General features: G+C 34.7%; 2 protein-coding genes and 1 pseudogene across 5 annotated transcripts in view, besides 1 other annotated feature; all 3 read right to left on the bottom strand.

Annotated features, from left to right (window-relative positions):
- Positions 1–431: 431 nt before the first annotated feature.
- On the bottom strand, positions 432–25,322 carry AMY2B (amylase alpha 2B). Of its 3 annotated transcripts, none has more exons than NM_020978.4 (12): positions 24,857–25,322; positions 14,372–14,531; positions 8,196–8,409; positions 7,710–7,856; positions 6,706–6,903; positions 6,028–6,258; positions 5,573–5,706; positions 4,621–4,743; positions 4,426–4,525; positions 2,358–2,476; positions 2,121–2,246; positions 432–655 (listed from the first exon to the last, which is right to left on the bottom strand). In NM_020978.4, exons 3-12 carry the CDS (start codon positions 8,361–8,363, stop codon positions 466–468), a joined length of 1,536 nt encoding a protein of 511 aa, NP_066188.1. In that variant the 5' UTR covers positions 8,364–8,409; positions 14,372–14,531; positions 24,857–25,322; the 3' UTR covers positions 432–465. The 3 variants fall into 3 exon arrangements, with proteins under 3 accessions (NP_066188.1, NP_001373038.1, NP_001374366.1); NM_001386109.1 differs by lacking the exon at positions 24,857–25,322 and adding an exon at positions 17,872–18,178; NM_001387437.1 differs by lacking the exons at positions 14,372–14,531; positions 24,857–25,322 and having other exon boundaries at positions 8,196–8,377.
- On the bottom strand, positions 8,575–10,562 carry ACTG1P4 (actin gamma 1 pseudogene 4; annotated as a pseudogene). Its single transcript, NR_024438.2, has one exon. The product of NR_024438.2 is annotated as an actin gamma 1 pseudogene 4 (transcript).
- Positions 22,258–22,476: a silencer, noted in NCBI's record as "fragment chr1:104100112-104100330 (GRCh37/hg19 assembly coordinates)". NCBI's record gives its function as "represses an EF-1alpha promoter that drives an FKBP-Casp9 reporter gene in an ReSE screen in K562 erythroleukemia cells {active_cell/tissue: K562}" and the evidence as "EXISTENCE:reporter gene assay evidence [ECO:0000049][PMID:32094911]".
- RNPC3 (RNA binding region (RNP1, RRM) containing 3) overlaps positions 24,727–27,082 on the bottom strand; it is a 29,541-nt gene continuing 27,185 nt past the window's right edge. Inside the window, exon 15 of the mRNA NM_017619.4 lies at positions 24,727–24,932. The gene's annotated coding sequence lies outside the window, so the exon portion shown is untranslated. The remainder of the gene's footprint in view (positions 24,933–27,082) is intronic.

Raw genomic sequence — 27,082 nt, 5'->3', positions numbered from 1 at the left:
TTTCTTCTATTTTTTAACCTTATTAACACCAGAAGTACTTGCATATTATAAAAAGCATACAACCGGGCTAACTTTGCATGGGAATCAGCATTAAACCAGCTATCCCTAACTAACTGATAAAAACACTCCTTGGAAGGATTATAGAATGGCAGAAATTAAAGGTACACAGCTCGGTAAATGATGCTAATGGCAACAAACATATTGGTTGAGATGCTTTTCTGAGTTCATAGCTTAAATAGGTTAAAGTCAGTCTTCTAAAGCATAACAACTTGCTGACTATTATTATCTTACACTTATTCAACAATTAAGTGGGATTTTAATACTATTGGTTTTTTTGTGAATTTTACAAGTTGATTACTAATTAGAGCTTTTACTAAAAATTAATGAAATATAAGTATTACTGTATATGTAAGAAAAGAAACACACTTGGCTATTGTTTTGAGGATATGCATTTAATTTTAAATTTTATAATTTAGATTCAGCATGAATTGCAATAAATGGATCCTCAGCAGAGTTACTAATAGAAAAATGAGCTTTGCCATCGTCAGAAACGTAGATTTTAATGCCTGTGCAATTGCCATTAATTTTATCTCCAGAAATGACATCACAGTATGTGCCAGCAGGAAGACCAGTTTGCAAAGTTAAAGAAAATGTCCTGTAAAATAAAATTTCAGATTTAACTTCAATACACTGAAAATCAAGAATACAGGCTAACACAACTAAACAGCATAACTTTATGTTGTAGAACCCTAAGCAGTGAAGTCTCATTAAGAAGAAAACCCATATGCCTCCCTAGTAGTTGTAAATAGCTTTCTAGGACCAAAAGTAACCTTACAGAAAATGTAGCAGTTCCCTGGTCCGTAGTGAAAATATTACCAAAAAATCAAAGTTGAAGAATATCACTGAAGATTGGCAGGAATGGTCACACTTTGATAAAAGTGCTAGCTTGTTAAAATCAAATTTGTTCTCAACTGAACTTAATACAAATTACTTTTAAAAATTTAAAGGGTTACATAAGTATACATGTGCCATGCTGGTGCGCTGCACCCACTAACTCGTCATCTAGCATTAGGTATATCTCCCAATGCTATCCCTCCCCCCTCCCCGTACCCTAAAATTTAAAGTATAATTTAAAAAAAAATTTTTAAAGGGTTTTATTTTTTTAATCTCCTTTTTTCCCCATAAGGTAAAAAAGAATTTGGGGCATACATAGAAACAATCTAGCATTTCTATGAAGAAGTGATAGTTTGAAATATAAAGCTTTCTCACAAAAATTTATTTTGGTATTTTCATCCACAAAAGAAAGAAATTAAAGAACTAGACATGGGCTTTTTTGGCAGGAAAGAGATCAACTAGATTTATGTATTTATGTATTTATTTATTTTTCATCAGTGAAATATAATTTATACTAGAATGAGCTAAGTATGAGTATCAGTTGGCTTTGGACAGAGACAATTCAACTGTTTGCAACGAGGTCTTCTGAGCTATAGGTTAGGGAATCATTTATACTTCAGTAAAGGATATAAGAATCACAGATGAAAGGCCAATAATGAGAAGTTTCGGAACTAAAACTCAAATCCCCTGAAGCCAATCATTAACCACAAGATACATATTATTTATGCATATGCTTTAAAAATATTATTTGTCACAAGGAGACAGAGAAGTGAAGAAAGTATACCAAAAAACTACATAGAGCAGTCATTGAGAAAAAGAGTTAGAAATAAAGATATATTAGTACTCAGGCAGCATTTTTCCATGATTAAAAAAACAGGAATATAAGACATGTTCTTTTAATGATTTCACAATCCTCATATTAACTACTTTGTGTATTTTGTGGCATGTGTAGGTGAGCATATGTATGTGCATTCAATATATGCATAAGATATTGCAAGGGTGCACAGAAAGGACTCTGCTTACAACAGAAAGCCCTTAATAAAACAGGAGAATGAAGGAGTAACAGCCATCATCTTTTTACTTCTGCCCAATTTTGATGTCTATTGTCTTCTTGCTCCACTGACTACATGATTTTTCAGATATGATAAATGTCAATGAACAGAAAAAAAGGAATAAACCAAGAGCATACAGGTACAAAATATTATTTTTAATTGATATGTACTTACCAGTCATCATTGTTGAAAACAATGAATCCTCTGTTTCCTCTCCCAAAAGCCACTTGGTTGCTCCCATTATCATACCAGTTTGTAAAAGGCTGGCCATCCACTACATTGCGGAAATTAACCATGTTCCTAAAAACACAATACCATATAAAACGTTGATATTCTTAAACTTCAACTGTTTTAAATAAAATGCAATGGAAAGTTTACTATTAGAGGACATGTCTAAATACATATTCTCACCTTATTTGGCGCCATCGATGTTCACAGACCCAGTCATTGCCACAAGTAGTGTCTGGATTAATAGTAACTTCTTTAATTACTCCATTATTATTTGGTGGCCCAACCCAATCATTAACATCCTTAATTAGGGGGTGAAAAGCCAAATTTTAACATACATATATTTACCTCTTCCTTCTCCTTTAAACCAAACCCAACCTATCCTGTTACTTGTGTCTCTGCATTCAATGACTTTATCTAGAATCCAATGCCTTCAATAATTTTTATAGCCCTTTACTGGGTCTTCATCATCTCTCTATCCTCTGGTTCTCTTTTGCCATATTTCAAACAAAGGTAACAAATTGTTATCCTCTCCTTTTCATTCCAAGGAACTGCAAAGGCTTCTTTGCTCTGTCACCCAGGCTGGAGTACAGTGGCATAATCATAGCTCACTGCAGCCTTGATCTCCCAGGCTCAAGCGATCCTCCTATCTCAGCCTCCTAAGTAGCTAAGACTGTTGGTGTGCACCACCGCAACCAGCTAATTTTTAAAAAATTTTCAGTAAAGACGAGGTCTTGCTAGCTTGCCCAGATAGGTCTTGAACTCCTCAGGTCAGCTGATCTTCTCGCCTGGACTCGCCAAGTGCTGGGATTACAGGTGTGAGCCACAGCACCTGGCCTGCAAGGGCTTCTTAACATCACTGTAAGCCATGCAATGTCATTGAAATGGGAAGGGCATTAGTACCAGAAACACCAGGATTAAAACATAGGCTCTATTAACAGTAGCTAAGAAAATTTAATCAACATACATAATTTCTCTGTGTCTCAGTTTCCTCATTTGTAAAATGGGAATATTGTTTTTTTGCTATAAAAATTAAGTAATATATGTGAAAATGCCTTGAACGTGACATGTGCTCAATAAATATTAGAGTCCATCATGCTTCTGTTTAGATAATTGTACAAAACAATACATCAGAACATTTTTTATAAATTGACACCAGTTTTAATATTATGTTTTTCTGATTGGCACTTTAAAAAATCTTAATTAAAAAAACCAGAGTAACCCTAGGAAGTTTTTCAGTGTTGACCTTAGAATTATGTCATATGGTGAAAAGTGAACAAAACTAAGAGTTTTTAGCATGCAGCAGTCCTGGAAAGTGGAAAAGTTATAGTGATAGAAAAAATAAAAATACTCTGTGACCCTTAACATCAGAAATAAGACCAATTAGTAGAAATCATGATAAGTTGGCTCAATATAAAAGTACACCTAAATATTAAAGCTGTTTAACAATAGAATCAGTTGCTATACAAAGTAACAGACTTCTCAAACTGAAAGGAATCTAAAAAAAGCTAGCTAGATATCTGTGTGACTCAGAGGAAGGAGGAATTTCTGCTTTAGATCTGAAGTCTCTGATGCTGTTTCTGAACCCTTTAGTTTAAAGAAAACCTTCTACTAGCTTTCCAAATATCTGTACACTCTTATTTCTCTGTTCCTTTTTGAAACTACTCATCAGATAAATGTCTTTACCATACTCCCAAATATTTTTCTCATTCTTACCTTTCTTGGAATACTCTCTAAATTTCCATTCTTTAGTACATATAATTTCCTTCCTCTTATTAGATACTTTTCCCTATTTAACTCAGCTCAACTGAATCATTTTTTTGTATTCCATATAACTTTTTAAAAATATTTAACGAACATTTATATTGTTCTTACTGTGGGCAGATGATGTTTTAAGTTCTCTAAAAGTGTTGGCATGTATAATCTTCCTATTAACCCTGAGGTAGGTACTTATTCGAAGTATATATTTTAATCCCTGTGCCTAGCTCTTATTTTTAAGTGGTTTTTTTTTTTTTCCTGTGGGCTAGGGGGATGTTTATCATATGTCTGAAAAGGCTTGCATACTCTTTGTCAATGGAAAATATATATTTTACTCCTTTAATATAACCTGCATTACTAAAATCGCAGCCCTATATCAGGTTTCTAATCAATTATTTGTTGAATATATAATTAATAGTTGTCATATTAAGTTAGAACAAGATTGCCTTCTGTTTCTTGAGAAAAGGATAGTTTGAACAATTTCAAAACTTACGTTTCCATTTTGAAACTGTCTTGGCCAACGGTAGCTTGACATTACTCGTGTAAAACCATAAGGATGAGCAAGCATAAATCCAACTGCCATTTTATACAGCCTGAAAGTTACATAATTATATTATCACAGAATATCAGAATATCATTACCATCATTAAAAGATGTGTTAAAAAAAATAGAGAACTTGGTTTTCTACCTAGCATCCCAGAAGGTAAGAATAGAGGCTCCTCCAGCCCCATGTCCTCGTTGATTGTCATGGTTATCCACAAAGACAAGTGCTCTGTCAGAAGGCATGAAACCCCAACCTTCTCCCCAGTTCCTATTTTTGAAAAATAAGATATATGTTGATGTATCATTTCACAATAGTTTGCGAGTAACTTAACTGTGCATCTCTTTCTGCATGGCATGGCATCTGAAGATTAAATTCTTTCTCTAATTAAATGGTTATTCTGTAAGATATATATATATATATATATATATACATACACACACACAAACACACACTCAAATATATATACACACACACACCATATACACACACGTGTGTAATCTACATATGTAGTCTATATTCGTATATACAAGTATGGAATACTTATATTCATATTACAAATATAAGATTTTTGTTATTAAAAAAGGTCCTTTCAGAGGTTTCAGCACATTATCATTTAGAGGCACTCCAGAAGGATCAATATCCATATCACATTTTACGGAATGTCAAACTAGGTTAAAATAAGGCTTCAATACTGTATTGTTATAATATAAATATTTTTATATTTTTAATTCATATAATATATGTAAATTCTACAGTATGGAAACTTTGTACATACTTTATAAATGATAGGATCATTTTAATAATAACCTGGCTTTAAAAGATTATATGCAAACATCAGTCAAATCCAGTATATTCATCTCGTACTTAGACGGAAACTCCTAGGATATGTTTAGCGTTCCTAGGCATACTCACTTGTGATAGACACTCTAAATACAAAAGATGATTGATTAGAGTTTAGGGCACTAGAATACTTATCATTAACAATTGACTCCTTGATAGTTGTCTGAAAAAGAATGTTCCAGAAGATAACTCACACTGGGGTACTATGACTAATAAATCTATGAAATACTTCAGGGGAAAAGTTGTATTTATTTACTTTAGGTAAGACATCTTCTCTCCATTCCACTTGCGAATAACTGTGCCGAGTTTTGCACCATACTTGAATTCTGTCACCCGGCCATTTCCAAAGTAGTCACTGCTTTTAATTGGCTCACCACCCAGATCAATTACCTAGTAGAAAATTAGGAAAAAGTAACATTTTGCATAAGGACTTTAAAGCATTTTAACCAATAAGTTAATATTATATAAAAGATAGCTTTAAGCTATTTGTTATTTATTAATAAATTAAGCTATTTATTATTTCTTTTTGTCTTGTTTTGTTTTGTTTGTGATAAAGAATTAGATATGCTGTATGTGAAGAGGAGGTTAAAGAACACCATTTTATATAAATGACTCAGTCCTTATCCTATAGAAATTGCATTTTTAATTAAATCTGCCATTATTTTCTAATGAATAAGATGATATTTTATATGCATATATGTATTGATGTACCTCCTGGTAAATGAAAGGTTTACTTCCTGCAGGGAACCAGTTACTGTTTAGATTATGCAGTTTGTCCAAAATTGCCTTTATGTCTCCAGGCCACATGTGCTTGGAAGCATCAAGTCTGAACCCTGCAACACCAATGTCAATGAGATGATTCATATATTCGGCAATCTTGGAACGCACATAATCTTTCTCCAGTGCAAGATCAAGAAGACCAACCAGACGACAATCTCTGACCTGTTGAGGTAAAAATGTTATGATTGATTCATAAAACCTCATTTTTCACATGAGAATCCATTTGATTATTCATTTATTCCATGATTCCTCAAGAGATATTCTATAGTGACTTCCTTGCATTGGGCGCTGGGGATGCTCACATTCTACTATAGATGTATCTTGGAAATATTTTCTAATAGAAAATAGAGAATTTAGGAAATAAAGTCGACGAGCTTTTTAATTGGTTGGGAGCTTTTTAAAAGTGGGCAAATGTGTATTGATTAAAAATCTTAAATCTATATTTAAGTTTTTAAATATGGATTTGAGTTTCTTAAAGTAGTCAAACCTGTTAACCTGTGTCCCTAAGAGATCTAAATTCGTATTTAAAATGAAGTTCAATTAGCTACATGTCTACAAGAAAAGGCATATATCACCCCTTATTCAGATGACTCTCATAAAAAAATTTACCTGAGTAGCATCATTGTAGTTCTCGATATCTCCACTTCCAGTTTTACATTTACCATCATTAAAATCCCATCCAGAATATGGGACTGCTGGAAAGTCCCTACTTCCAGGGTTGAAGTAACTTCCACAGGTACTGCTTGTTCCTGCACTCACAGCATTACCAGACATATGATTAATTACAGCATCCACATAAATACGAACCTAGAAAGCAAAGTTTCTACTTCAGTGTGACTTACAGAGAGGCAGAAATTTAAAGCATTATTGATTCAAGTTTATAGTATGTTAATAAAACTCCAAAATATTTCATGATATCTTATAACTATTTTCCTACAAGATCAAAAATCAACTGTGAAGAAGTAATGTGAACTAAACACCTACATGCCTTCTAGACACTTGGTCAAATATTTATAGTAATGGTAAATTGAGAGAACCAGAAACTACCATAAATAGGAGGAAATGCAAAAAGCCCATTTCGGGGAGACAAAACTCAGATGAGACTGGAAAGGTTACTGTTTTGGAAATTACAGTCGGTCACCAGGAGAAAGCCTGTACTCTCTACTAAGCTTTTGAAGACAAATAAGGGAGCTATTAGTCTCAAATTATGCTCCTCATTAAATAGAGAAGCTAGCTAGTCACCACGAAAAACCCAGGAATTATGGATGGAGATACAAGTCACCTAAAAATGATAGCAAATATTGTAACTGGAATTATAACTCTTAACCAGAAAACTCTTTCCAGGAAATATAGATAGGTATAAAAGTTAAAATTTGATGTTTTGCTTTAGAAGTAAATTCTGCTTTAAACTTGTTTCTTTGGTAGATAGAGAGCACATACACAAATATTTACAAAAGCTGAACATAAGGCAACGGTTAATTTTGAGTTTTAAAGTATGAAGTAAAATTAAAAAAATAAAATATGGAAAACTTTCTGCTGAAAAGGAGCAAGAAAGAAGAGAGAGAAATCATTTTCCTATCTGTTATTTTTCAAGGAAACTAGAATTCACTTACCCCAACATTGTTACATCTAGTCACCATGTTTCTAAATTCATCTTCATTTCCAGATCTTGTGCATAATTTATAGCTAACTGGTTGGTATCTTTCCCACCAAGGTCTGAAAGGGTTGTGAATTGCAACATTTTCATTTGGTGGAGAGACCTACAAATTAAACAGTCTTCATAACTACCAAATTCTTACTCTATATCATTGAATGTTCTAGAAACTAATCAATAATATAAAAAATTCTTGAATCTTGGTATATGCAGCTATCTCTTGAAAATATTAACAGCACATTGGAGGGCTCTTGTTGAAGAAAGATTATCTCAGAAACAAAATATAAAGTTGCCAAGAATACTACATTGTTTTTTCCTCAGAAAACTCTTACTTAGAATACTTACCTGTGAAGTAAAATGTTGCCTAAGCTTCACGGATAAGATCAGAATACTATTTACTACAAGCATAGTGAATTCTGCAATTGATACTATGAATCATACCCACCTGAACCCCTCCAAATCCCTTGGGAGCTAAATATCGCTCACATTCAAGAGCAATATCAACCCATCGCCATTCAAACAGATGAACAATAGATGTCCGTCCTTGTTGTGTATTTGGGGAATACTGAGCCCAGCAGAACCCAATGGTGAAAAGCAACAGAAAGAACTTCATTTTGCTTTGAAGTTGTCAGTGTCCTTTCCAGAAACTATTTATATTCCTGTAAGAAGCACATTTTACAAAGTAAATATTAGCATGAATAAATACTTGAGGGCAAACTGTTTACTCATAATCTGAAAAGGATTATCAATAATAATCCTAACAGGAGAAGAACATTAAAAAGTCTCTCATGGAAATCATCTAAATGACCTTTTAGAAATTAATGTTTTTTTGGTTCTGGCAGCACTTTTATTTTTCCATACACAATGATATATTGCTGGGGCCTAATGTTCTCACGTAACAGTAGAAAACCAAAATTTGTTGTCATCTCTTTAAAGATCGAGAATTGCATACAAAAAAACTTTACATAAATTAAAAGGATGAATACATTTATAGGTATAAATGCAAACCGCTTCCAACTCAAGGCGAGTAACAGCCCATGGTGTTCTGGCAGACAACAGAAGCTAAGAAAGGAAACTGGGTCCTATGGCTTGGACTTTCCAACCCTGACAGACCGACAGGACAGAAACAACTGGTTAAGGAGCCCTTACCAGCCTGTAGACAAATCCCAGAACACTCAGTCCTGACACATTAATACCCTGCACAGATCAGAGACTGCTGGCCATGCAGACTCACCAAGCCAGACTTGTCTTCCACAAGTACGTTTTTAGCCATGAAGTGACCAAGCCACATGTACTAAAGACTGAAATCAAAGATATGTACAGATACCAAGGGGAACAGTTAACTTGAATACAATGTCAAAATCAGGAACAAGTTCTACAATCCAGTGCTGATATCAGATACAAGCTTTAAAGACAACTTATTTTCTAAGGCTTATTCCAGTTTGGTGAGGCTAGCATGAGGTGTATGCATTTGCCAGGGGCAAATTTTTACTTCTGAATTAACCCATGAAGCAATTGCTAGCCATCTGCTCACAGTCCATTTAGAAGCATTTGCGGTGGACGATGGAGGGGGCCAAGTCATTGTACTATTGCTTGCTAATCCACATCTGCTGGAAGGCTGACAGTGAGGCCAGGATGGAGCCGCTGATCCACACGGAGTACTTGTGCTCTGGGGATGCGATCATCTTGATCTTCATGGTGCTAGGTGCCCGGGTGGTGATCTCCTTCTGCATCCTGTCGGTGATGCCTGGGTACATGTTGCCACCAGATAGCACCGTGTTGGCCTACAGGTCTTTGCGGATGTCCACGTCACACTTCATGATGGAGTTGAAGATGGTCTGGGTGGATGCCACAAGATTCCATGTCCAGGAAGGAAGGCTGGAACAGCGTCTCGGGACACTGCAACCTCATTGCCGATGGTGATGACATGGCCATCAGGCAGCTCATATCTCTTCTCCAGGGAGGAGGAGGATGTGGCAGTGGCCATCTACTGCTCAAAGTCCAGGGCAACATAGCACAGTTTCTCCTTGACGTAGTGTCTGATCTCCCGCTCGGCAGTGGTGCTGAAGCTATAGCCAACCTTGGTAAGGATCTTCATGAGGTAGTTGGTCAGGTCCTGGCCAGCCAGGTCCAGATGCAGAATGGTGTCAGGGAGGGCGTAGCCCTTATAGATGGGCACCATGTGGGTGACCCCATCTCCAAAGCCCATGACAATGCCAGTGTGCAACCACAGGTGTAGAGGGACAGCCTAGCCTGGATGGCCACGTACATGGCCAGGGTGTTGAAGGTATCAAACATGATCTGAGTCATCTTCTCTCTGTTGGCCTTGAGGTTCAGGGGGTCCTCGGTCAGCAGCACCAGGTGCTCCTCCAAGGCCATGTGCAGTCCCTTGTAGAAGGTGTGATGCCAGATCTTCTCTATGTCATCCCAGTTGGTCATGATACCATGCTTAATGGGGGTACTTCAGGGTCAGGATACTGTGCTTGCTCTCAGCCATGTAGCCCACATAGGAGTCCCTCTGGCCCATGCCCACCATCATGCCCTGGTGCCGGGGGCACCGATGATGGAAGGAAACATGGCTGGGGGTTGTCGTCCCCAGCAAAGCCAGCTTTGCACATGCTGGAGCCATTGTCAATCACCAGTACGGCAATCTCTTCTTCCATTGCGACTGGTGGAGGAGTGGGACAGTGGAGCGGCAGGACAACATGGTGCATGGGCTGGCAGAGGTGACTGGTTTTTTCTTACTGATAAAATCTTAACCTTTTTAAACCTCTGGCAGTGTACACACACACACACACACACACACACACACACACACAAACCCACATAAATAAGGACAGTAAATATATATTTAAACACATAAGGACTGTATTTATATATATATATACACAAACACACACATATCTACACAGTCCTTATGTGTGTGTGTGTATGTATATATAGACTCTGTGTGTGTGTGCGTGTGTGTATATATGTATATATGTATGGTTTGGCTGTGTCCCCACCCAAATCTCATCTTGAATGTAGTTCCCATAACCCCCATGTGTTATGAGAGGGACCTGGTAGGAGGTAACTGAAATTGAATCATGGGGGCGGTAATCCCATACAGATGTTTTCATGATAGTGAGTGAGTTCTCCCAAGACCTCATGGTTGCATAAGGGGCTTTTCCCCCTTTTGCTCAGAATTTCTCCTTCCTGCCATCAAGTGAAGAAGGATGGGTTTGCTTCCCCTTCCACCATGATTGTACATTTCCTGAGGCTTCCTCAGTCATGTGGAACTGTGAGTGGATTGAATCTTTTTCCTTTATATATTACTCAGTCTTGGACACTTCTTTATAGCAGCATGAGAACAAACATATATATATACACACACATACATACAAACATATATATATACACAAACATATATATATTCCATATATATATAATGCAGTGTATATATATATAGTCTATATAGTCTTTATATATGTGTGTATATATATAAATCCTAATAACAAATAAGGACTGTCTTTTGTTTGTGATATCCGTCACTAATAGAAAATAACAATTGAAGCCAACTGAATTCTCAAAATATTTAACTATTTTCAAATTTTTGTCATGTTTCCATTTCAAACAGACATATTATGTGATATTTCCATTTTTAAAATCAGCCCTGTTTCCCATCCTTAATTCAAAGTTTTGGTTATTTAAATTTCTCCATTAATGATTTAAGAAAACGTTTAAAATCTCAAAGCCCATGAATTGGAGAAACTAACTTTTTTCCCCTTGATCAACTCATGTGCTTAATATAGTGCATATAGTAGTAGGATTGGTGGTGGTGGTGGTTTTCTCCCTGTAGGCAAATATTTCTTGTACCTGACAAAATGCTAAATAAATAAATTTGTGTAATTTTTCCTTCTTAATGTAATGTAAGTGAAATGCTATGAAAGGGAGTAATAGTACAGGTAGGAAAAACTTCATCCATCCATTCAACAAGTGTTAAGTGTGTGTCTGCTTTTTGCTAAGCACTGTAGGTGATGTTCAGGAGACAATTATGAAAAAGACAGGTTTCTGTTCTCAGAGAACTTACATTCTAGTGGAAAGAAAAGAAAATATATTAGTAAATAACAGTAATAGCAACAGTACTAACAGTGATGATAAAAATAATTTCAGATAGCAATAAGAACTAGTATAAAATCATAAAATAGAAAGTGACTTTTCCATCAGGGTATTATAGACTGGATGGTAAGGGAAGACATCCCTTAAAAGAGTGACTTTATGATGTGATTTGAAGGATTAGAAGTGTCCAGTCATTTAGAGATCAGAGAAAGAGCAACAGATAGAGGAAAGAGCAAGAGTAATGTCCCAAGAAAGGAAAAAGCTAGTACATAAGACACATTAAAAAGAAATCAGTGTGGCTAGAGCACATGTGATAAAGGGTGGGATAAAATGAGATGAGATCAGAGAGGTAGGCCAGATCATGTAGAACCTTGTAGAACATGAAGAAAGAGAGAGCTGTTAAGGCTGTGACATGGGGAACTGAAAGACTAATAAACTTTAAAAGAAAATCACCCTGCTTCTGGGAAGAAACCAGATTATAGGAGGATAAGAGTGGAAAGGGGTAGATGTTAGAAGACTTTTACAGTGGTCCAGGAAAGAGGTGAGTGGCTTGGACTAGGGCATAGACAAGGTATATTTCAGAGGTAAACAGGCAGTAGATTTATGAATAGATTAGAGCTGAAGGATGAGGAAAAATATTAAAGATATAGGTATTTGGGGATGATACCATTTTTTAACATGAGACAAAATGAGGAAGTACCAGCTTTGACGAAGGGTATCAGGAGAGCTGTGGATCTTAACTATTCCACTGTCGATCCTGATGCTGCCCTTTGGTCCTTCCGCCAGCCAATCCTGTGAACTCTGTTCATTGCAAAACTAGAAGTTCCTCATATTTTATATGAAATATCATACCTTCATGAATTTCCTAGTGGTTTTGTTTCCCATATCATCCCCTTCCACATCCAACTTAGTGTGGAAGCAACTACTTTTCCTTCCACATTAAGTTGAAACCACAACTTTATGAAGCTTACCCTCATATTCTCAAGCATAGTTAGCTCCTCTGTTGTATGAAAGCTTCTTAATTTATATGACATTAAGCTATATTTGACTTCTTTTGTAAGTATATTATAATTAACAATTTACTTGTCTGTCATTCTGGACCAAGCTTCTTGAAGTTAGACTTCATATCTAGTATTTCCAAATCCTAGTAAAATGATTGACATTGTCTTATGTGCTCAATAAATGGCTATAACATGAAAACTCTAGGTTCCAGGTATTGTGCAAAACATTGGCATAACATGGGTTATGTCCTCATTGATTTTCTAAAAATCAATGAACTCTATATTAGAAATTGTGCAATAAACTTGACTCTAATCCTAGCAAAAGTGTTGTACACATGTTGGAACTAAGGCCCAGACAGACTGGGTAAATTGTCCAGGCTCATATGGTAAGTGACAAAGACAGGATTTGATAATAAGTCTGATTGCAAGTCAACATTCTCTGTACTACACTAATGTTTCTCCTAGAATTCTAGAGTTGTGATGTCTAATATGGTAGCCACTAGAAACAATTGGCTACTAACCAGTTGAAATGTATGTGGTTTCAACAGAGATGAGTAGTAAGTGTAAAACACACTCGGATAGTGTGAAAATAAAAAGTAAAAAAATATATTTTTATGATGTTTACAGGTTGAAATAACATACTGTGATACATTAGGCTAAACAGAATTTACCATTAATATTAATTTCCCTAGTGTCTTTTGGTTTCTTTTAATGCAGTTAGTAAAATACGTTAAATTACATATATGATTTACATTCTATTTGTATTAGACAGAGCTGTTCTAGAAGTTATGTTCAGTTAGAGAAGGGATATGTCCATACACAAAAACAAACAATAAAGTGAAAGATATGAACATAGTTTTAAGAGGGTTACGATTAAGTGCTTCAGGATTTAATTGGTAGGAAAAGTTCTTTCTGACAGATGGGAATAAGGGGAGATAAAATTGACTTGAAGAATGGGTTTGACATCAATGAAAAGAGATAGGTAAAATTGCTTTTAAGTAAGAAAAACATGTAGAAGAGCAAGGAAAATGGCAAGAAGTCAATACAGTGTTTTAGAAACAAGTCAAGTGTGAGGGAGACATGACAGTTAAATTTGGAAAGGTATATTGGGGACACTCAAAATCAGGGAGAAGAAAAAAGTACTTACCTCAGAAGGTTTTTTGGTTGTTTTAAACAGGAAAGTAATAATAAAAACTTTTAATTATATCAGATGGACCAGAAAACAAAGAGATAGGAACATTAGTAAGCAGAGCAGTGACAGAAATCTGAATTAGGATTACAGCAGTAAGAATGAAAATTAGGGAAGTGTGATAGTTATATTAAAGGGCATCCAATGAATGACACTTCCCAGTATCCATACCTATATAAAGTCTCTCTCTACAAAGACTATGGAATTAGCTTGATATTTGTTTTATCCGATGGGATATCAGCAAACAAGACACAAGCAAAGTTTGACTGGGGTTTGCAGAAGGGAGTTTGATCTCTTGGAACTCTGAGATCATACATTGTGTTGTGAGCCTACCTGGGATGAAAGATCACTTGAAGTCTAGTTGTCCCTAGTCATTCCAACAACGTGAGTTGACTCGCCAGCTAATAGTAGTTGAGTGATGTGCCAGGAAAAAACATGGTGTATATAGTCAGCCCTCCATATCCATGGGTTCCACATCGCCAGATTCAACCAACTGTGGAAGAACATATTTTTAAAGAAGGATAGTTGCATCTGTACTGAACATATAGACTTTTCTGTCATTATTCCCTAAACAATGTAACTATCTGCATAGCATTTATATTACAGTAGATATTACATCTCTAGCAATATAGAGATGATTTAAAGTATACAGGAGGATGTGCATTGGTTATATGCAAATACTATGCTATTTTATATAAGGCACTTGAGCATCTGTAGATTTTGGTATCCATGGGAGGTCCTGGAACCAATCCCCCACAGATACTGGAGAGATGACTGCAAAAGGCTTGGTACTATCTGTGGTTTCAGGCACCTGCTGGGGGTCTTGGAACATATACCCCTGGAATAGAGGGGAAATGTTTATGTAAAACAGAGAGGGGAGATATAACAGACTTGGTGGAGACTGTACAGAAAATGGTGGTTAATCAGATATAAGAGAATAGAGAATATAAAGAGTCAAATGGGGACTCTGTGATTTAAACTTTGGGTGAATATTAGAATGGCAATGTCTTTATGACTGATAGTGCAATCTAAAGGCAGATTTGGTTTAGAGAAACCGATGAATATGGGGACATATTGAATTAGAGGTACCATTTTTAAAACAAATGGGTATATAAAAACAATTAAAAAAAGATATGAAGAAAGAAGCAGAGAATTGGTAGTTTTCAACAAAGCAATGACAGTCTAAGAAATGGAACAAAAAATACTTAACTGATTTAACACAGACACTGAACAGAACAGATGCTATCCCTAAGCAACTACTATACAGAGGGCAGTGTACACTGGCTGAATTATCAGGCCTGGAGAGTTGTACCCTTGAGGGCTGACAAAATACCAAAAAAGATATTGGATGAAGTCACCAAGCTTTATAAATGATGGGGTACAGGGAGTAGGAAGGAGATAATAAAGAGGTGCCTTCAAAGTAGCAAAGGGAGTTTTATTACCCGAGATGATTTTTAAAAGCAAATAGGGAAGGAAAATTTGCAGGGAGTACAACAAACTAACTGGATACGGGTGAGTATCAGAATTTAAATAGAAGACTGACTAGATAGTGATACAGGGCTGATGGTGTAAAGAGTTGACAGAGAAGAGGGGCACCATTTGAACTTCATGCTTGACTCAAGGTTCCAAATGTGAAAACGCAATTATTAGGAGTTAAGACAAACTATAAATCCTGACTTTTCCATTTATAACCTGTGTGATGCTGGAAAATAACTTCTCTAAATGTATCTATTAACTAGAAAAAGTAATGTTTACCTCATAGAGTTATTGTGATTAAACGAATAATGCAAATAAAGCTGTTATCCCAATGTATGGATATGGTAAAAGCTCAATATGGTTGATAATGTTATTTTTGTATTGATATTTTTACCTGGTCCTATTAAAAATCCTATCAACTCATACTGTCTTTCCGCCTTCGCTCTACTAACACTTGGCCATTCTGTCTTCCCATTCTACCCTTCTTAACTTCTAATACTTTCTACTTCTCAGAAGTATTTTCATTTCCAGTAAAGGAATGGACAGAGATGAAAAAGAATCACCAATATTTTCTACCTGCAATTTTTTCCTTCCTTCCCTCACAGTATTCTTCTTGCTTATTCGCTTAGGATTTCTGGCAGATCCATGGTAGTTTTGAAATATACTTTTCAACAATGCCAGATCAATGAACTCTGTTCTTGTAATAGCAAATCAGCATTTTTCACAATGCATTTGGAATGTTGGTAAAAAAAAAGGGATAATTTGCAGATATAATTTAGGGAATTTAGCACTGCATGAAAGGTAGAGTTAGACACACATATAATAAGCTTCTACTAAGAGTCAGGCATTATCATATATTTTCTCATTTGATCTTAATTTTCACCTCAAACAAGCAATCTGAAGAGCTATATACCCCATAGGAGAAGCATTAAAACAATTAAAGTATATTTATGTCTTCTGAAATAAAAATCTGCACAAACAATTCTTAGCATCTTCGGCATCAAAAACACAAAAATAAGGATTTAAAATAGTTGTTATATCTACTTTCTGAAATAGTTATTCTAAAAGAGTTATCCTTAGAGAAGCTATTCAGTTATTAGTAATATACGGCATTATTGCCCATATTTTGTACTTCCTAGAATGCTCTACAAAGAGAAAACTTCCCTTTACTCTAAAGCTCTAACGGTTACTATCATGTGCCAAATGACATATCTTGGGAATTCCCTAAGAATATGAAATAGGACATTTGATAATATCCTGACGACAAAGCAATAGTCACTAAAGATTTATATTTGGAGTGTCAAAACATATTCTCTCTTCTCATTTGGGCTCATATAAAAAATAAAATATATCCGGTATCAAGAATTAACTCAAAATTAGCCAGTTTCTGAGGGTCTCAAAAGTATTTTTTCAATCAATATCATATATGAGGTATCTATTTTGACATCCATAATATAAATGGCATTATAGGGAAACGGCTCTAGTGTAAACTCAGTATCCCTCTTGACACATCAAGTACCATAAATTTAATCATTTAGCTCAAAGCCTACTTAAATCACACCAAAGCCTTGACTTAAATAAAATGAAAGAGCTCTATTGTTAAGCAGAAAGTAGCAACTTCCAAATAACTTGTCTTTCTAGAGCTCCCTTTCTACTTATATAACTATCAGTTATTTACAAGTTCTTTCCCCCTATCCAAAGTAGCCTCACATTTATACCAGATATTATAGTTTTTTAACATGCAAATGAATTAACATTGACAAAAAAAAAAAAAAAAAAGACAAGTTATCTATTAATGTCATTCGTAGTTCTTAGCCTAGATGCCTTATAAATATCTTTGGAAGTAATTTAAGTGTGATTAAAAATTACAACTGAAATACCTTAATGTCACATTTATGAACTTGATCAAGTTAGTTGTTTCTCTTACTAAAAAATAAAGTCTTAATTCCTCTGAGTTTTGCAATAAATTAGGTACAATTTTCTCAAAATAGTAAACCTTCAACCACCAGCCCTTCCCCCAACAGTTTTCTGTTTTTCTTTTGAAAATAAAATAAGAAAGAAAATAAACCTGAACTCAGGATAAGTTGCAATGTAAAGGTTAGAGAAAAGAAAGCACAGATAATCAAGTTTGCCTAACAGATCTCTGAAATCAGAGAAACCTTTTGAGCCAAGGCTAAGACACATTTTCAATATAAATAGTACATTTTGTACTGCACAGCACTGAAACATGATTTGTCAACAAACTGAAAATAGATTGTGAAACTCTATATCAAATCATGTGACAGAAACCACTTATTTCAAGACAAAAAGTTGGAGGAGGACTTACATAATACTCAAAAAACATTAAAACAACTTACCACATTAACTTCTCTCAATCAGCAATCTCCCAAACCCACAGTTGAGTGTTTTACAATCATAAAATAAAAATCTCACAGTTCTGGTTTTGCTTTTTCTTCAGTTGGAAAAAAAATTGCTGAATTTAGAATCTTATAGATTTTCTATAACCTCTTACTTTCAATATGTGGCCCTAGAGTCCTACTCCAATTCTCCAAATCAGATTTGTACAAGGAATCTTCTCTGAACTCCAGTATTACAACAGGTTGATCACCACACTCCTGTTTCCTAAGCAAACCACTGTCTTCTCTCCTCTGCTCAGTTTGCTGCCCTGCCACCTCTTCTTACTACACTATATCTCGTCTGCTTTCTGTCTTCCTTCCTTTTTCTACAATATCCTCTCGCAATCTCTATTTCTTTTCCCTGAACCATTTATATTTATAATATATAGGGAATATATAGATAATAAACATATAGGGAATAAAATAATCTTAATAAAATAACCTTAAAAATAAAATAACCATATAAAATAAAATAACCTTAAAGACCCGATTGGCATAGGGCTGGGTTAAATTAGTTAAATGAGACTAGAATGTAAGCAGTGTCACTAAATCAAAAATTTAACTCTTTGAGACCAGCCTGGCCAACATAGCAAAACCCTGTCTCTACTAAAACTACAAAAATTAGCTGGGCATGGTATCTGGCACCTGTAATCCCAGCTACTTAGGAGGCAGAGGCAGGAGAATTGCTTGAACCCAGGAGGTGGAGGTTGCAGTGAGCCGAGACTGCGCCACTGCACTCCAGCCTGGGCAACAAGAATGAGACTCCGTCTCAAAACAAACAAAAAACCAAAAAAAAATTAACTCCATGCATCACCATCTACTAGATGCTTCACCATGTACATTTTTTTCTGTATGAACCTTAGAAAAAAATTAAAGTCTATGGATTTCATACTAGGTTCTCAATTAGGAAATGAAGATATTGTTGATAAATATAAAAATAAAATAACCACTAACAACATATAGTTACTATGTGCCATTTCTATGCATTATCACTTTTACTTATCACACACGCGTACCCTACATGATAGAAATATGATTATCCTCATTTTTAAAATGAGAAAAAAACACTAAAAAATTAAATAATGGGATTTATTAATGGTCAAATTGTAGTACATGTTGGGACTGAATTTCAAAGCCAAGAAGCCTAACTCCACAGTGAGCTCTTACCTACTAATCAGTCTTATATTCCCTTTCATTGGATTGTTAGAAAAATCAAATAAAATATTATATGAAAATATTTTAAAACCTGAGTTCTGCTTAATCTGATTAATTTTTAAAAGATTAACAGTAGAAAAAATTCTGCAAAAATAATGTCTTGGAGGATTAAAAATACAGAAGTAATTTCAAAAATAAAAACAACTGCAAACTGGAATAAAACAGTGTTCAAGTATTCTAAGGTCACATTATTGTCTTTGGCAATGGACATAGGCATTAACTTTGGACTGTGAGAATATGCATGGGTATAATCAGTGCTAATCATTAACAAAACAGAAAATGTGCCTAATTCCTGTGGTATAGGGTAAAAAAAATTCAATGTAAATTGATTAAATGTTTCTGCTAAATGCATTTTTAGACAGATTTTTTAAAAACAGATAGAAAAAAGGTAAAGGTAAAGCTAGAACCAAATAAATGATGTAAATTCTAACCAAAGGAAAGACAGTGAGGCTTTATTAGTATTGGACAAAGATCTAAGGCAAAATTAATACCACAGTAAAATGGTTGTACATTTATAATTAAAAATGTTTGACTCTCTGACTAGAAATTCAACAAATATATGTTTACTCACCTTATAACATGTTTAAAATTACTAAAGCAAAAATATTGACAGTACAATAATAGGGAAATCTACAATTATGAGAGAGTTTTAACAACCTTATTAAGAGCAGGCAGATTTCAACAAGTTTTAATTAACCTGACCAAATGCACATACGGAGAACACATTATTTTTTTAATTGTCTATATACAGTCAGAAGTTGAGTCTTTTAAAGGATTGAAATAAAAAAGAATATTCTAATTGGACTAAGATCATATAGTATGCACTTGTTAATATGAACATTTCCAAATATTTTGTTGTTATAAGAAGTGTTATAATGAACATCTGTATACATGTTTACACATAGGTAATTCTGTAGACTAAACGTAGTGAAACTTGAAGCACATTTTTATATTTTCATATTATGCAAAATTGCCCTTACAAACCTGTCAGTTTTTACTCTCTAGTAGCAATATATTATAGTACCTTTTGTCACACTCCCACCAAAAATATTATCGCTCTGATTTTTGCCTAATAGATTAAAAATGATTTGTGCTTTTCCCAATTACTAGCAAGACTGAACATCATTTCACATTTTTTGGCCTTTTGAGTTTTCTCTTGAAATTTGCTTCCTTTTTCCATCTTCTTTTGCTTTTATTATTTTTCTTATTGAATGTTTCCAGTTCTTATGTTATTATCGTTTGTCATGTATTGCAAATATATTTTCCTAATATATCACTGCTTTTTGAAGGCTTCCCAGTGTAAATCTAAGTAATCATGAATGCTGGTATGAATTAGGACAGTGCCAAAGGTATGCCTGTATTATTATTTTTTGTCCAACTACAGTCATGCATTGCTTAATGACAGGAGTATGTTCTGAAGAGAAAGCCCTTAGGTAATTAAGCCACTGTGCAAATGTCATAGAATGGACTTCCATAAACGTAGATGGCATAGCCTATTCCTCCTAGGCTACAAACCTGTAAGGCATGTTATTGTACTGAATATTATAGGCAACTGTAACACAGTGTACTTGTGTACCTAAATATATTTAAACATAGGAAACTTCCGATAAAAATATGGCATAATAAACTTAACTGGACCACCATCATATATGCGGTGCACGACTGTATTCACCATGCAAAAGGTTTTAAGTTTTAAAGTGATTATTTGTTTAACTACAGTGGTTCCTCGTCCCTCCATATCCATGAGGAATTGGTTCCAGGACCCACCATGGATACTTAAAGCAACAACTGCTCGAGTCTTTTATATACAATGTAGTATTTGCATGTAACTTTTACATCATCTCAGATTACTTATAATAACTAATGCAACGTAAATGCCATGTCAAAACTTGTTATATTATGTTGTTTACAAAATAATGACGAAAAAAACTCAATACATGTTCAGTATAGATGCAACCATCCTTTCTCTTGTCTTATCCTTAGATCTTGTTTAATAAGATTAAAGACTAAGTGGTAAGGAGGATGGGAAGAGAGACAGAGGAAAAATGTATTAATGACAGCTTTTTTTTTTTTTTTTTCAGTTGGGGTCTCCCTATGTCACCCAGGCTGGAGTGCAGAGATGCAATCACGGTTCACTGCAGCCTCAAATTCCTGAGCTTAAGTGGTCCTCCCTCCTCAGCCTCCCAAGTTGTTGGGATTACAAGCATGACTAATTATGCCCAGCAATGGTAGGTTTTTGTTGTTGTTGTTTACAAAGTTAAATGTCATCATTTTTTATACTGAAATATCTTTTAATACTTTTTTTTGAAATATTACTGATTATTTAGAACCCAAAGTCTGGACCATTGAACAAGTTCATTCCAATAGTCTCTTTCACTGTTAATATTCTCTGATCCTATGATTTATTCTTCTCTTGACTTTCTACATCCTAATGGAAATATGAAAATCAAAGAGCTTAAGGAAATGTTGTGGCTGTATCAATCAGGACAGAATAGGTTATTCTGCAGTAATAAAAGAAACTAAAATTTTTCAGTGGCTTACAATAACCAAGTTTCTCATGTTCAACTAGGATCAACAAAGGCACTCTTATTAGTCCCTTTGTAATGTCACAAAAACTTCATTTTGACACATGCTTTAGCAATCGGGAACTCCCCAAAGTAAAACAATCTTTCTGCTCACATTTCACAGCCAAAACAAATCACATGGACATTCCCAAATTCAACAGGATGGGAGTATTTCATTTGCAGGGCGGATCACTAATATTTATGAACAATAGTATATTGCATATATGAGATCAGAAATAAAAACTAACAGGAAAAATAAAAGAATTTTCATTGGAGTGAACATTTGAAAAATAAGAAATGCGAGTTTAAATATATAAAGAAAAATACAATATATAGAGCTTCTCACCTCCATCCTTTCCTTCGATAGCAAGACATTCAATTTCTTCCAAGTTTGTATGATCATTTCTATGCATGTTTTTATGACTTACTTCATCTAATGTTCCCATAAATAACATATAATGGAATTTTATGTAGTTACCTTTTTCTAAGCTTTGAAAAGTTTCATAAAACTGCTCACATCTTCTTAAATTTTGGATATTCAAAGATCACGGTATACAAATACCATATTAAGTGCTATTTTATAATTTACAAAAAATTAAAATTTCTTATGTAAAATACTTTTTTTTTTTTTAATCTAACTCCATCACTGAAGCTGGAGTGCAGTGGCCCAATCTCGGCTCACTGCAACCTCCACCTTCGGGTTCAAATGATTCTCCTGCCTCAGCCTCCCGAGTAGCTGGGACCACAGGCATGAGCCACCATGCCCAGCAATTTTTTTTGTATTTTTAGTAGAGACGAGGTCTCATCGTGTTGGCCAGGCTGGTCTCAAAATCCTGACCTCACGTTGATCCACCTGCGTTGGCCTCCCAAAGTGCTGGGATTACAGCCGTGAGCCACTGCACCTGGCCTCTTTCTTAATTTCTAATTGATAACCTTTTAAATAGATACAACCACCTCAAGTCTTTATATATTAGTCACAGATGTTCCAGTCTTACTTGATATCCTGGCTTTTTCTTCATTGCTTAGACCTTGTGCATGTTGGGTACAGGGTATATATTTCCTGATGCTTATTCAATGTTTTGTGTGTATGTATGTATGTATGTATGTGTGTGTGTGTGTGTGTGTGCGCGCGCGCACGCTTTAAGATTTCCTATTAGCTTTTAAATGGACGCTCTATATACCGTTTGTTTTCAGAAAATATAGGGTGGGACATTTTGCAGCTTAAGTACTTGGGATGAGAACTCTATTCTTCTTGAAAATCATCAGTTGTATCTCTTAGGTGTCTGACACAGGGGGTTAGCTCACATATCTACTGAATAATCCTACTGAGGTCATTATTTGTTAGCATGAATTACTAAAGATAATTAAATGTAATAAAGTATCTTACAGTTGACACATTAAAGAGCTTTCCATTACTCACAAAAGGAAGTGCTGTCTTCTCACAGGGTAGTAAAGATAAAATAATTACAAAAAGCACTCAGCACAGTTCTTGTTGAGATTTCAAAATTCATTTAGATAATGCTTTCAATCTCCTAGGTTCCCAATTTCTTGAATTCATCTCCTTCCATCACCTTGCCTCTATGCTACTCCCATCCTCACATCCTAAAACTTATAATCACTAAGTACTATATACTTAGTACTATTATACTATACTTAGTATACTATACTTAGTACTATTATACTATACTTAGTATACTATACTTAGTACTATTATATATTATTATACTCTAATTTCAATTTCAGCCACCCCACTCTTATTTAAATCTCCCAAATTTCTAGTTTGTACCTCAAGAACTCCAATGCATCTTCAACCACACTGCAATCTACAATTGATGATACCATTTTCCACTGTCTCAACCTTCTTTATTTTCTCACTTCACTCCTTAACCCAGATTACTTTCCATATCTCTCTTTTATTATCTTTCTCTTAAATGTAACAACATCTCATCACTGTCTTATTCACCTAGGGAAATCTCAACTTTAGTTAAATTGAATTCTGTACTTTTTCAGTGATAGCACCTATGCTGAACTCAACTGGAGAAAAACACAAAACCACATTGACTGATACCACTTAAATAAACCACAGATTGCCTAAGAGTATGTTTACTTTCCTACATTCCTGGATACCCATTTTACATCTCCTTTTCCTTCCTTAATCCTTCATGACTTCCTCCCTCTTTATGACCTTGTTTCCTATTTCTCTGAGAAAATATAACAAAAATTTGACATGCTCCTATTTACTGAACTACCGACATCTAGAACTCCATAATCTGCCCTTCATCCTACCGTTACTAATGAGCTGTTTGTGTGCCTATCTTTAAAACGAACCCTTCTATTTGTATACCAGGTCTATGGCTTCAGCAATATCCCTCTCTTTCCGGCATTATGTTTTTTCTCTCTACTGAATCAGTCTGATTAGCATACAAACCTGCTATATCATCAATCTTAAACAGCTTTTTGATACTACATTGCCCTCCATTAACAACCCATTTCTCACAACCCCTTGAACGCAAGACTCTTTAAGAGTTGTCTTCGATACTCACTATATTAAATTCTTCTTCAAAATTCTCTTGAATACCCTTACTCCTGACATCCACCAAGTTTGTCAACGTCAAGTTGACAAAAAAGAATGTTTTCCTACGTATATACAGCTGAAACTCATTTCATTAAAGGAACAGAATAATTTTATGTGGGAAATATTTTCACCTTTGAGTGACGTTCTGACAGATGAAAGATTTGGGGGAACAAAAATGGAAGACTGTATTACAGCAAGGATACAAATTTCTAAATTGGGATAAACCCCCATTTCCAAAAAACCAAAAGCCCAGTAAAACTCAAAGCCAGACAAATATAAAATAATTACAAAAAACAAGATTACAATAAAAAAAATGTGAAAGTGCTTTGGTATCCAGGTAAGAATTTTTAAAAGGCAGTATTTGTAATCATAAAAAAATTATATTACAAATTATATATATTTTTTATAATATTATGTTTTCCTAGATGTGTTAAACCAGATAAAGAAAAAATACAAACACTATTTTATTGGAAAGGAAACAATTTATTATATTTGAGGAAAATCATTAAAATACATGTAATATGTTTCCAATTCACTGATTTAAAGGCATATAGATTTAATTTTTAAATACACTTTCAAAGCTGTTACGCACAGTTCCATAGTCCAGGTGGTCAATTTCTTCCTCTCAAAGTTAGAAAGCACTTGAAGGACACGGGATTCAAAAAAACCTAAAACATCATAAAAGCCCATTAAAAATAGGAAGTATAACACAGGTCATTAGTTTAAAAATAACTAAGAGCTGAACCATTTATATTTAGAAAATTAGTGAATCATGTCAGTATAACAAAATTTATCTAAATAAACCGCTTATAAAGAAACTGATTTATAACATTTACAAAATCTTTTTAACTATGCCTACAGAAAAATAATTACATTTTCAAAATCTATAGGTTTTGTACTTTTAAGGTGATAATAACCGAATTTTCAATTGTTTTCACAGATCTAATAATAGTAGCAGATTTTTCAACAAAGAAACACAGAGGCTCCAACCCTTTATTTTCCTAGTTATTAATATAAGGTTGGATGGCTAGGTTGATACTAGGTACCTAATCATTTTACTCTAACAAAGCAGTGTCTAAACTGGTCAGTCCTTAAAATTACTAAAGAAACCTTTTCAAATCTGATTGTTATACTCCATTCCCAGAGATTCAGATGTATTAGTTCTAGGGTAGAGTACAGGAATCTTTATGCATAAAAACTCTTCCTTGGTGGTTCTCGACCTTGTTTGTATATTAAAATCAGTTTGAGAGGTTTATTCCAACATCTGTGCTACACTCCCAACACCTTAAATCAAAATTCTGACCAAAGGAACCAAGCATCAATATATTTCTTAAGGATTTTTTTAGGAGGGAGAGGGTCTCACTCTGTCACCCAGGCTAGAATGCAGTGGTGTGATCATGGTTCACTGCAACCTCAACCTCTGGGGCTCAAGTAATCCTCCTGCCTTAGCATCCCAAGTAGCTGAGACCAGAGGTGCAAGCCACCACACTTGGCTAATTTTTGTATTTTTTGTAGGGACAGGGTCTCCCTACATTGCCCAGGCTGGTCTCAAACTCCTGGGCTCAAGTGATTCTCCCATCTCGGACTTGCAAAGTGCTGGGATTACAGGTATGAGCCACTGCACCCTTTTAAAATTAGTATTTAAGTTCCAGATCACTGCAATGTGCAGCCAAGACTGAGAACCACTGTTCTTGGTGATTACGGTCATCAACCAGTCTGGAAACCACTATTCCTATATACCTGCCAAGACTGTTTTTCCTTAATGCACTACCCTTAGTGGGCATTATGTGTTCTCCCCTCTATTACGCTTTTCTTCTCTTGTTTAGAAAAAGAAAGGGGAAAGAAGAAAGATACTTCTATTGCTATCTATGTCAAAAGAGATTCACTAAGACTTCAGATGAGAGGTCTGCTACTCTCTAGAATTTACATAGTAATCCAGACATCTTAATTTTCAATGTAAGTACTTTTTAAAAGAAAAACATTTCCTTTGCCCAAATTTTAAACACATTATAAATACCTAAACCAGATATATTACACAACAGAAAGCATATGTTATTGAATTAGGTTTAGGAAACATACAAATAGAAGAAACAAGACTGTATTCTGGGTTAAAGTAAATGAACACATTCTCTAAGTAAGTTGACCTGATTCACTAACTTTCCCTCAAAAAATTATATAAAGGACAGCACAGAAAATTCAACAACAAATCTAAAAACACATAAAAGATCTGTTCAGTCTATACAAATAATTTTAGAAATATTTCATTTGAATAAAGTGTAAAAAAGTATTCCTTAACCTGGATCAACAGGTGGGGGAAGGACAAACATTTCTAGGAAAAAAACAAAAAAACACTGCCCCAAAAAGGATACGACAAGAAAGGATACACTTTGCATGACAGTATTACAGCAGTATTTACGCAGGAATGCTTCTAAAGAAGAACAGCAGAATGCAGTTTAATTTTTTTCTTATTTTTCAGCACCAGATTTAAAATAAATGATGTTTAAAAATACAGACTGAAATCCATCTTTCCTCTAAAGTGTTTATAAGACTTGTGACTACCCAGTATAGACGTACAACAAAATTCAAATATTCAAGCCATCTCAGAAGGACTAAATATTAAACAAAATTTTCCCTTATTTACCCATATTTGGCAGTTAAACACCAGTAATTGTGACCAATTACTTCGTGTTCTTTTAGTTTACAGAGGAACAAAAATTTAAATAAAAAACAAAGGAATATATTTCTACTTATTTCTTGAACAATGTAACAAACATTAACATTTAAAATGCTTAATTCTACCATATTTAATCATCAAATT

Source organism: Homo sapiens, chromosome 1 (assembly GCF_000001405.40).
Source record: "Homo sapiens chromosome 1, GRCh38.p14 Primary Assembly".
In the NCBI taxonomy this organism is placed as follows: Eukaryota; Metazoa; Chordata; class Mammalia; order Primates; family Hominidae; genus Homo; species Homo sapiens.
Note: the sequence above shows the minus strand (reverse complement) of the source record. Positions and strands in the feature narration are given on the sequence as shown.